Genomic DNA, 12,099 nt, shown 5'->3' with positions numbered 1-12,099 from the left:
GCCTGGCTCATTTGAATTTTTGGCAGATATGGGGCTTTACCATGTTGGCCAGGCTGATCTGTAACTCCTGACCTCAGGCCATCCACCCGCCTCAGCCTCCTAAAGTGCTGGAATTACAGGCGTGAGCCACCGTGCCTGGCCTGAACGGTCTTGATGGTAGGTTTCTCTAGGCAGATGGGAGAAAGGCGGAGAATAAGGGGCTGTCCCCTTCCATGTGGAGAAGCAGAGGCATAGGTGAGTACCAACGGGACTGGGACAGATCTGCCCTGGTGACACTGGTAGAAGAATGACACGGCCCTCCCATTCCACCCAGGAGTGAGACCTTTGGTGGTGACTCTGGTAGAGGAATGACACGGCCTTCTCATTCCACCCAGGAGTGAGACCTTTGGTGGTGACTCCCGTAGAGGAATGACACGGCCTTCCCATTCCACCCAGGAGTGAGACCTTTGGTGGTGACTCCCGTAGAGGAATGACACGGCCTTCCCATTCCACCCAGGAGTGAGACCTTTGGTGGTGACTCCCGTAGAGGAATGACACGGCCTTCCCATTCCACCCAGGAGTGAGACCTTTGGTGGTGACTCCGGTAGAGGAATGACACGGCCTTCCCATTCCACCCAGGAGTGAGACCTTTGGTGGTGACTCCCGTAGAGGAATGACACGGCCTTCCCATTCCACCCAGGAGTGAGACCTTTGGTGGTGACTCTGGTAGAGGAATGACACGGCCTTCCCATTCCACCCAGGAGTGAGACCTTTGAGCACATCATCACACAGTTAACTAACTTAATCTTTTACTTACCATCGACTTCTCTTTGGCATAATGCCAAGGCATTTTCTTGTAAAGCATGAGCTGGTAACAATTCTAGAAAATAACATAAATGCTGCAAATTAAGTTTTTGCCAAAATTCAAGAGAACTGCTAAGTGGAATATGAGATCAACTATGCTCCCAAGAAAACTGTTAGCACAGTTGATTTTCTATTCAACTTACCTGACAAAACACACACAATTTTCCTTCGATATCGTAGTGACTGCTTCTCTTTTCATGTAATTTATATCTTTTCTTAGAATTGAGGGGGATATACTAGAAAGCACATTTATTTCCCTTCACTTGAATACCAAAGGGAGGAACTTTTCTCCACTAATGCTGTGATGTGCATATTTGCATTACTGAGAAATGATATTTAAGAGGCCCTAGGGAAGCCTGAGCTCTTACTTTCCTCCGAGAGGTCGTTCTCCTCCGCCTCTCTCTCCATCTCTTTGCACCAGCCTTCCATCCTCTTTGTCTCTGCGTGCAGCAGCTTCAAAAACCACGAGCCATCCCTGCGGCACGGAGACATCCTCCCAGTCTCTACCGTGTCGATGGCGGGCTCCAGCCAGGGGTCTGGAGGGGGCAGGGTGGAGGTGTCCACTTGGGTCCGATAGTCTTCTCTATAGCTGAAGAGCCCCTGGGTCCGTACAGTTCTCACCGCGCTGTACTGGGTGGGGGTGCTGGGCTCGGAGTGCCGCTGGAAGGATGAGCCGAACTGAAGGCCTTTGTCCTCCGTGGTGATGTGGCCTGGGAACCCCTCCAGCTCCAGGTCAGCTTGGACGGCGGCCGTGACGCTGTTAGAACGTTTAAAACGTCCGTGTCTGCAAAAGGAGGGAAGGAAGACAGATGGTAGCCCTTCTGAGAGGACTTCATGCAACAAAGTCCTACATGTCGCCTGTCAGGAGCGCACCTGAGCTCAACAGCCTGGCGGCTCAAGGGCAGGTAGTGTTTTGTTTGTGAAATATGCTGGTGTTTTGTCTGTGGAAGAACATTTGGTTTTGCAAATCATTATACTTTAACATCTGCCTAAGTCTCAGGCCTAAATAACACCCACTTGGGATTTAAGTTTATTGAATGATACAATGAGAGTTAACGTGTTTCTTGAAACCACCATTAGCAAATGGCTACCTCCCTTTCAGAAATATGCTACGAGCTTATGCAGCCAAAGCCATGGGTTGCTTCTTTTATGTAAACAATAGTAACATCATACTGAGTTGTAGTGGCTTCCAAATTGTGTTTCAGGGCCTGAGCCACTTCTGTCTGGATAATTTAATATGTCCCCATTAACCCCTGTATGCAAAATAATGACTCCAAATTCTGACTTTGGCAGGTGTTGGAAAATCATTTTCACTGTCTATATTTTAATGTCATCTTTTCCACATAGCTGATCACCAAAATAGTTGATAGGAGGGGGCTTACAGTTGGAGACCAGTATGCTGGGTGAGAACACTGTGAGCGTGTGTGTGCACGTGGGTATGCTCTGTATCGTGTGCCTGTGTGGTGTGTGTGTGTCTCTCTGTGTCTACATAGTCCCAGCTACTGCAGCCATCCCTGTGGCTCTGCAGGCTGAACCCATAGAAGCACACAGCTGTGCATGCAGCTGGTTAGTGACGTTGCCACGTGTTCCCTTTGCTGGGGGCACAGGGAGGGACACTGAGCCACAGAGCAGGATGGAAGGCAGCCTGCCCGGCTCCCAGGTGCAGAAGATGGCCAGGTTCTAGGAGGTCTCTTGGAAACTGGGGAAGCCATAAGCTGGGGTCGGAATTTCTTTGCAATCAAAATCTCCATAGGGTGGGTGCTAAAACGCTCCCTGATGAGGGAGGCCACCCAACACTGTCCCTGTCACACATTGGCTGAGCCCTCACCATGTAATATTCTCATCAAAATTTGTTTTTATGAAATAGACAATACATGCTATTTTAAATATAAACTAAAATGATCGTCCTGCCTTGTTACAAAAATAACACTAATGGATATCACTTTGTATTTTTTGTTTCTAGGTAATATTTTTGAAGTGAAACAATTTCACGGTGTATGAAGGCCTTGAACGTGCTTTGCTGTCTTTCTATCGTTTTACGTGTAACATGACAAGGCGTAAGGCCTGCATTGGCGTCACCCTCAGCCCGTCCTTCTTTCCTTTGGATCAAGGACTCTGACTTTCAGGCCGTCAGCTGCTCTGCTTTCAGAGGTGATAAATTACTTTGGAAAGAATTACTCCCTTGCCTCTTGCAAAAACAAGACATAGGCGGGTGTTAATTCATACTTGAGGGTTATCAATGGAAAAGTATAAACGTATGGCCCTGTTTCCACAAGGACAGGCATGATTGAGGGCCGGCAGGATCTAGGAGCTTCCATCAGGCCTTTGACAAAGAGCCCTCGCTCGGGGGTCACCGCGTGTCAGGAGGGGCTGAGTTACCGCTTCTCATCTTCCACTTGCACCCCGACAGAGTGGTATTCCCGCAGACCGCGGCTCTCCGTGTCAGAATCTGTGGCCGTTTCCACCTAATTCAACAGAGAACGTCTTATTTTAGAACTGAAACATGGGGCCTGGGCAAGGGACTATTTTGTTGTTGTTGTGGATTTGCTGTAATTAATTACGCATTTGTTTAATTAATGCAGCGGTGCACTTGACCCAGTAAAACCGCAGAGAGGGAAATGCATTCACACTGGAGTAATTACATCACTCCTGCGTCTCATCACATTTTACATAACTACCTGAACTCAAGGCTGCAGTTTGGTCTTCTAAATGTATGCAAATAAAACTGCTTAGTTCAGCTCAGGCAAAAAATAGGTGTTGTTGAACTGCATTATAACAGGACTTAAAAGCTCTTATCACGCCCTATGGTGAAGAAAGTACAGCATGAACCAAACACAGCTAATGACAACAAATAAGCGATTTAAAAGACTTATACTGATGGCTGCATCCACGTACAGAAAGACACAGAAAGGAATTTCAGCACTGATCAGAAACAGAGGCAAACTCTCCACCTTCATCTCCATAGAGCTGTCTCACGTCTGCTAAGAGGATGGCCAGCAGGGTGACGTCAGATCAGAACAGAAATCATGTATTCCACAGAGAATTCTGATTGTGGCTGTATTTGCCAAAAAGTCCCCACAAACCCAACAAGCCTTGCAATGATCATCAGCTATGTGAAGTTATCCCACAAGGGAATTCTAGTACAGTACGTTCTCTAAAAAAAAAAAAACAAAACCAAACCAAGTAGGAAAACTGTGAAACCAAAGGTTAGTTAAGCCATTGATATGATTCCAGGCACTCAGTCATTCCTCTTTCCAGAAAAGTATTACCTATTGTATCAAAAGGACTTTTGAGCCCTCTCTGAAGTGTCATAGCTAAGTTATAAAATCTCTCCCTTCTTAAAAATATTACTGATCACTACAAGGAAAAGGTGCAAAGCATGAAATATTTCTGACCCTGTCCCCTGTGAGGCAAGAGAGAGGAGCTGCACGTTAACATTTGAGTTGCCCTTTGTGACTATCCTAAGGTTAAGCCTGTGTCAACGAGGACTGGCTCAGATTTGTGGCTAAGAGAGGTACTGATGGTAACAGCGAAGACTTATTTGGTGCGTACCCTGCGCCAGGCACTAGGCTGAGGTTCCAGCGTTATCACGTGTACTCCACACAATAACCCCAAGGATGTTTCCAGCCCCAGGAGAGAGCTGGCGGATCAGAGGAGGGGGGTGACTTGCTCAGGAGCGCGCCCTGGTTGGGGTCAGGGCTAGGGCTCTTGCCGGGATCTCTCTGACCCCAGAGCCGGGTGCCGCACAGAAGACAGAGCGCGAGAAAACCCTGGAGCTCTCGGCCGCCGCCGTGGATCCAGGGGAACGGACAGAGACGTCCACTTTCACCGGGTGTAATTCTGAAGACAGGCGCAGAAGCGGTCCCGAGACTGGGATGCGTGTTTGCAGAAGCTGACCCTAGACTGGGATGCGTGTTCTGATAGCTGGGTGAGACGGGCTACAGGAGGAAGAACATTCTTGAGTGAAGATCCTGGCCTTCCTGTCAGAATTTACCATTCCCGTTTCTAGTGTTAAGTGGGTCACGACTTTATTAAACCTTACCTTGCTCGACATAAACATGATCAGTGTTATTTTACGCAAAGGATTGTAATACAATTAATACATTTAAAATTCCATGTCTGTACATATGGAGCTGCCTCGTGTTTTAAGTGCAAAGGATTCCATTTTATGAGTATAGCCTAGTGCATTTAATGAGCCTTCAGTGCAGGGGAAATTTGGTTATTTCTAGTTTTCTGCCATTATAAATGATGCTGCTATATAAATACATGTCTGTACTTGTGTGAAAACTTCTCTGAATATATTCACCAGACGGGAGGTCTGGGTCAGAGGTATTTGCACTTTATAATTTTGGTAGATATTGCCAAATCTGATATGAGTGAAATAAATGAATACTTTTAAAGATATTTTGTAAAAGGAACACTCGTTTTTATCATAAAAATGTGGAGAATATTTGTCTCTCTCACTTATTCTATTTCTAGGAATCCAGCCTAAACAAAGGACCTTAAATTCTGACCAGTGTGTGAGGTGTTCATTGCAGCATTATTTATAAAGTAGCACCTGGGGAGAATGAGGGTGATACAGTGGGATAGGAATGTGCAGTAAGTCATGATTTACTTGTGACACGGAATACTACACAGCAGTGAAAACAATGGAGCTGGGCATGGTGGCTCATGCCTGTAATCCCAGCACTTTGGGAGGCTGTGGCAGGAGGATCACTTGAGCCTAGGCGTTAGAGACCAGCCTAGGCAACATGGCAAGACCCCATCTCTACAAAAAAAGAAATTAGCTGAGTGGTAGCACCTGTGGGACAAGCTACTCGGGAGGCTGAGGCAGGAGGATCACTTGAGCCCAGGACACTGAGGCTGCAGTTAGCTGTGATTGCACCACTGTACTACATCCTGGGCAATAAAGTGAGAGAGACCCTGTCTCTAAAAAATAAAGATGGTTCTAAAGATAACCTCAAGAATGCTTATAATACAGACTTTAAAGAACACAGGTTGACAGGTGCCATGGACAACAATGACCAGGGGCATGCACAAGCATAGAGACACTCGCAGTCACAGGCATGTTTGTGTACCATGAAAAAGAAAAATATAACAAAAGTAAAAGGAAGTTTTCCTTCCTTCCTCTGTCTCCAAATTTCCTCTAATATATTTTTGTTATTTTTTATAGTGAATTTGAAAAATACAGTTTTTGGAGCTGGTCAGATTCTGCTACTTGCTGGCCATGCAACTCTTAGGAAACTCTTTTAAATTTTGTTGAATCTTTGCTTCCTTGTTTCAAAGAGGGGACACCCAATGCCTCAGTTAACTGATGTAAAACTCTCAGCCTGAGGCCTGACTCAAGTAGGTTCGTCCACAGCAAATGCAAATTCCCTGTTCTCTCATCCCAGCTTTAAGGACGGTCACGTGAATAGTGGTATGTATATTACATTAAAGGCACACGCATATGATGAACTGTGCAGATTTTACCCTGGCTGTCTTTTATGAAATCTTTCTAAGTAAAATGAAGTTCTCCATTGCTGGATGGTAAAGTCTGAAGGGGACATGGTAAAATCATACTTGGCCAGGAGGAGCTAAGTATTTATCAATTTCAGAAATCCTGGGCATAGAGAGGCTTCATGTGAGACAGAAAAGCAAGTCTGGGACAAAGAAAATAAATTATTTTATACAATGGAAAGGTAACTCAAGAGTCTTTTCCAAAGGAAATTCTGACTAGAATTGCAGTGGGAGCACACTGGCTCACATCTATAATCCCAGTGCTCTGCAAGGCTGAGGGGGTAGGATCACTTGAGCCCACGAGTTTGAGGCTGGAGTGAGCTGTGATTGATTGCACCACTGCACTCCAGCCTGGGCAACACAGCAAGCCCTCATCTCTTAAAGTTTTGAAAAATATATGGGTGCAAGAAAAAAAGATGAATGAGCAAAATCACTGTCCCACCTCCCATGCAGTCCCAGGCTAGCAGCGGCGTCAAAGCCAACCAGCCTCCTCTGAGCCCAGCTTCTGTAGGGCTGCTGAGAAAATGAAAGTGGGCGGGGCTGGCAGCAGGAACCGCTCACTAGTAATACTGGGCCAGGGTGCCAATCTGTAATCTTTGCTCTCCCAACAAGCTCATTTTCCGCTCTTCCTTCAACACCTCACACATAGCAGGGCAGGTGCCCTGAATCTGATGCAAACTCCTGTTTATTTCCCTCTGAGACGTGCTCTGCCTCCCAGAGCTACAGGTGAGTGGCCGGCCCTGCCTGTGAGGCTTTGAGCTCTGGGGCAGCCATGAGGAAGAGCAGCTGCCTGTGAGGCTTGGAGCTCTGGGGCAGCCATGAGGAAGAGCAGCTGCCTGTGTGCCTGGAGAATCAGGCAGACACTTTTATCACAGGCAGGACATTCAGAATGGACAGCCGCAGAGTCTTTTCCAGGCTGCCCCTGCCTTCTCACAACCTGGTGAGATCACAGAATAGAAACTGATCTCCTTGGCTGGGCATGGAGGCTCATGCCTGTAATCCCAGCACTTGGGGAGGCTGAGACAGGTGGATCACCTGAGGTCAGGAGTTTGAGAGCAGCCTGGCTAACATGGTGAAACCCCATCTCTACTAAAAATACAAAAATTAGGCGTGGTGGCACATGTCTGTAATCCCAGCTGCTCGGGAGGCTGAGGCAGGAGAATCATTTGAACTCAGGAGGTGGAGGCGGAGGCTGCAGTGACCTGAGATCGTGCCACGCACTTCAGCCTGGGCAACAGAGTGAGACTCCATCTCAAAAAAAAAAAAAAAATTAAAAATAAAAAACAACAACAAAAAAACTGATCTCATTTATAAAGGTGGGATTCACAAGGCACCAGGGACAGAAGGACCCTGAATGTTAGACCAGGCCTCCGTCCCTCCTAACCGCAGTATCTGGGAGCTGTAAACATTTCCCAGAGTTCCCCAAACACACACATGCACACAAAAGAGAATGGAAAACTTAGCAGGAGAGACAAACCGCAAAGGATAAAAACGAAAGTGAATACACAAATGGTCCAATTGGAATGAAGAAAAGCGAGGTCAGGCCAGACCGGGTCAGAGGACGTCTCCGAGGTAGCTCAGCCATGCCCACAAGCTCTCCTCCTTATCCTAGGACTGGCCTATGAGTGCCAAGGCTGGAGCCCATTCTCTCCTACGGGCATCTGGCCTGCAAATCTGGAGCTGTGATGAGACCTGTCTGTGAGTCCTGCTGTAAGGGCCAGACTCAGGTGGCCGGGGCCAGACATCTGAGGAACAGGGGACTTGCCGCTGGCTTCTGCTCTAAGCTGGGCAGGGAAGGAGGACGGGGGCCATAGGAGGTGTGAGCTGAGGACCCTCACTCATTAGGGATCACGTTAGACGTAGCCCAGTAATTATAATGAGAATCCTGAATTCAAACCCTGATAGTAAAAGGTCATGCAATGCACTGTGAACAAGGGAGTTGCATTGTGGGACAGGACCCCCCACCCCGGGACAGGACCCTCCTGGAGCTGTCTCTCCATGAGCCAGTGACTCACAGAGGGCGTGAGCTCCACAGAAGATGTGTTCAGTGACGTGGACGCTGTTCATTTGTAGGAATGACATTCGCAGAACACAGATTCTCCTGCTATCTGCACTCAGACAAAACTGTGCCCAAAGGTCCCGGAAGCCAGTCCCATTGAATGCTGGTGGAACACGGGCTAGCCAGCTTTGTCTATGAGCTGCAGAACAGCGTGACACCTGCCCTGTGTCCCAGAACAGGAACAGAACCAGGGCAGGCTCCTGAGGGCACGGAATCATTCTGGGATTTTCTCCTCTTTGAGAAGCAGAGCAGAGAGGGGTGGAGTGGAGTGCAGGCTCCAGTCTCGGCCGCTGCCTTCACTCATGGCCTTGGCCGTGAGCCCTTAGGCAAGTCACTGACCCTCCCTGAGCCTCAGTTTTCCCATCCATAGTCTGGGCACAATTAACAACCAGCACACAGGGTTATTGTAAGGATTAAATGGTGCCTGGCAGGGACGTGGCCACCTGTCCACAGCCTGCTCACTCTTGTCCCAGCCTGTCACCTCCTGCCCTGGCAAGGCTGCCGTCTGCAGCTCCCCTCCTGACGCCTCCCTGAAAGAAGGAACCCGTCTTTCATCTGCTCGATTCCTTCTTTTCCTCCCCTTTACTCCTGCAGTGGCTTCAATTCTTTGGCTGTTTTCCTTATCCTGACACTGGAGCTGCTCCAACTACATTTTCTCTGTAGCTTTTCAATTCACTTCCTTTGGATAATTGTGAGACCGCCAGCTCACAGGATGCACAGAAAACACACAGGATGTTGTGCGTTTTTTTTTCTTACTGCCATGAAAGGTGACTTCGTCATCCACCTACATTCCTGTCTTTGCATCCATCCTCACCCAGCACGCACCCAGCGACCCATCCGTCCACTCGCTTACCCAACATTTACTGAGCACTCCCTATGTGCCAGGCACAGTGCTGGGTGCAGGGTGGCAACAGGCTGGGGGTGCAGTTCCCTCTCACAGGACACAGTGTGTGGGGCTGGGGTCCAGAGAGGCCTCCGGGAAGGGGTAAAGGCACAGGCTGAGCTTTGCAGGGGAAGCTGGGGGGATGAGGAGAAGCCTGTACTCAGCAGAGGCTGCCATGCCAGGGGTGGGAGCTGGGAGCGGAAGAGGGCTGACCACGGAGGGGTGTGGGGTCCTGGCTGTGGGCGGGGCAGGAAGCGGCGGCACTGTGCCGAGCGTGCTGACTTAACTGTATGAGTTTCCAAAATTATGTCCCACTCATTTCAGATAAAGTCGGTACTGCACGTGCTTAGAAGTTGGCACTGCCTCAGTCGTGGCTGGGTGGATATCCTGGAGGGCACCTGTGGGAGGTGGCTGAGGAGAAAAGAGAGAGGGTGGGAGTGTCTGGCAATGGGAAGTCACCTGGCTAATTTGGGGGCCTCTCCAGTCTCTACTGCAGACGTGACCCTGGAGACGGAGACGGAGACGGGCGATGGCACCCTAGCTTTCCTGCTTACCGGCGCCGGAGCCCAGCGAGGCCCAGGGCTGCAGGCAGGTTAGGGACCCTGGTGAGCCCCTTGTCCTCATCTAAGGGGGACAGATGGGAGCACCCAGCATAGTGCCTGGCACATAGAATCAGGACAGAGGCGACAAGAGCGGTCGCATGAACATCCAAAAAAGGGAGAGAAAATGAAAGTCATGCGGACGCGGCTTTGGAGCACATTTCGGTACTTACATCTGACCTTGGGTATGGCTGATGCTCTGGGAATTCAGAATCCTAAACAAAACAATGAAGCCACAGTGTGGAGACCTGGTTCGGAGGCCCTGGACCAGCGGGCGGCTCCCCTGCTCTCTCCGCCCGCATGCCTAGCTACCAGCGCCGCACGGGCCCGGCTCTCAGCACGCTCCACTCACCCTCCTCCCTGGGCCGCCCCAGCGGCAATCAAGAATCTGACTGTTAAAGCTCCGAGGAACGCAGGCTGAATGAAGGGGTAAAAGGAAGCAGGAGGTGGGCCGTGTTGGCAGAGGGCTTGACGGCCAGCCCTGCTCAACCACGTCCGCCAGATCCCGGAGGGATGCGCTACCTGACCCAGATCACAGGACAATCTCCCGGCCTCCCTGGGTGCACAACACTGCACCTAAAACAGACTTGCAGAGGGAGGTGCAGCGTGGGCAGGAGCCGGCCAGAGCTCTCCATTCACGGGGAAAGGAACCGTCTGCCACGTCTATATCATGGGTAGACATCTGGGGGCCCAGATGGACGGCGGGTCAACCGTCTGTGGTCTGAAACCATGGATGCAACATCTGTGACCCCAGCTGAGGGGCCTGCCAGCACCTGAAGTTGCTGTGAGCACGTCCAATTTCTGTAGAGAGGAGAGCATGCCCTTCCTTTTACCTCTTCATTCCCAGCACCTTTTGGTTTCCCCACTCAATTCTTTGGCCACAATACCGAAAAGCTTTTGAAAAATCAGACTTCAACAGAAACCCTCCCCTTTAAAGCATCAAAACAGTGTTATCTCCATACTCTCTAGGCAGCCTTTGGCCCTTGGAAAACAAGTGGCCCGGAGTGTATTTTCAGGGTGGCAGGGGACAGGGAGCTGGAACCCCTGGGTTTCCTTCAGCCCTGCACTGGGGTCCGCATCACCTCGGGGGTCTCCCACCTACTCACTGCGCTGGCAGGTCTGCAAGGCGAACGCACAGCCCTGCTCTCAGATTCCACAGCCCTGCTGGGGTTACAGTCAGTGCTAAGGACCCAGGGCCGCTGGTTGGGTTTTGGCTTATTCTAGGCTATTGGCAGGACTGAGTGGAGCGAGGCCCTGACGGGCGGCCAAGAGCAGCTACCTGAATCCCGATGGAGGAGCAGCGGCTCTTGAGGAGCTCCTCCGCCTTGGACACCAGGATGGCCTTGTCGCTGGTCCGCACAGAGCTGCTCTGGCTCTCTGGCAGGTGGCGCTGGGCAGCGGCCGTTTCCAGCGCGAGGTTCATGGCCTTGTTGCTGTCCAGGCTGTCCGTGGAGTTGTAGAGGCCGCGGCTGTCCTGGGGCCACGGGGACATCCTCTGTGCGCGGCTGTCCTGGTAGGCGTCCTGGGTGGATTCGGTGCTGCTCTGCGCCGTCACCGAGATCAGAGGCTTGGAGGTGGTCCGAGGGGGCACCGGTGGGGGCGTTTTCTTGTAATTTGTATATGAGACAGCTGTAAGAAAAGAAAGTCCCAAGTCAACAGGCGTGTTCTTCCCCGTCAGCCTGTGGTCTACTGTTTCCCCACGCCCATGCCCTGTGGTTGACGGAGCAAGTCTGTTCCTGGACGTCTAGCCTAAAAAAATAGCGTGAAATGAGGGGACAGTGAGACAGCACACATGAATATACCTGTAACAGTGCAGGATTATAAAAATACCAGCAAACCCAGCTGCAGAGACACAGCTAAGCAAGGTGCGTCCCTGCAGGACAGCACGCAGGCGTGGCATCATTTAAAAATACCGACAAATCCAGCAGCAGAGACACAGCTAGGCAACGTGCGTCCCCTCAGGACAGTGCGCAGGTGTGGCGTCATTTAAAAATACCAACAAATCCAGCAGCGGAGACACACCTAGGCAAGGTGTGTCCCCGCAGGACAGCGCACAGGCATGGCATCATTTAAAAATACCAGCAAACCCAGCAGCAGAGACACAGCTAGGCAAGGTGTGTCCCCGCAGGACAGCGCACAGGCATGGCGTCATTTCTACGCAGGTCATGTCATCGTGGAAAATGCTGATTCTATCACACTAGGTTCAGAAGCACGCC

The 12,099-nt window shown here is 50.2% G+C and overlaps 1 protein-coding gene and 1 long non-coding RNA gene across 2 annotated transcripts in view; one reads left to right on the top strand and one right to left on the bottom strand.

The window, feature by feature from the left end:
* The window catches only part of DLGAP2 (DLG associated protein 2), a 970,849-nt gene that overhangs the window by 28,636 nt on the left and 930,114 nt on the right, over positions 1 to 12,099 (bottom strand). Inside the window, exons 9-12 of the mRNA NM_001346810.2 lie at positions 11,163 to 11,512; positions 10,057 to 10,098; positions 3,223 to 3,308; positions 1,212 to 1,627 (exon numbers count right to left, since the gene is read on the bottom strand). Of these exons, the coding sequence (NP_001333739.1) occupies positions 1,212 to 1,627; positions 3,223 to 3,308; positions 10,057 to 10,098; positions 11,163 to 11,512 (894 nt within the window). The remainder of the gene's footprint in view (positions 1 to 1,211; positions 1,628 to 3,222; positions 3,309 to 10,056; positions 10,099 to 11,162; positions 11,513 to 12,099) is intronic.
* LOC124901870 (uncharacterized) lies at positions 1,570 to 4,026 on the top strand. The gene is made up of 2 exons (XR_007060783.1): positions 1,570 to 1,748; positions 2,807 to 4,026. It is a non-coding gene; the product is annotated as an uncharacterized LOC124901870 (long non-coding RNA).

The sequence above is a fragment of the Homo sapiens genome, chromosome 8 (assembly GCF_000001405.40).
Source record: "Homo sapiens chromosome 8, GRCh38.p14 Primary Assembly".
In the NCBI taxonomy this organism is placed as follows: Eukaryota; Metazoa; Chordata; class Mammalia; order Primates; family Hominidae; genus Homo; species Homo sapiens.
Note: the sequence above shows the minus strand (reverse complement) of the source record. Positions and strands in the feature narration are given on the sequence as shown.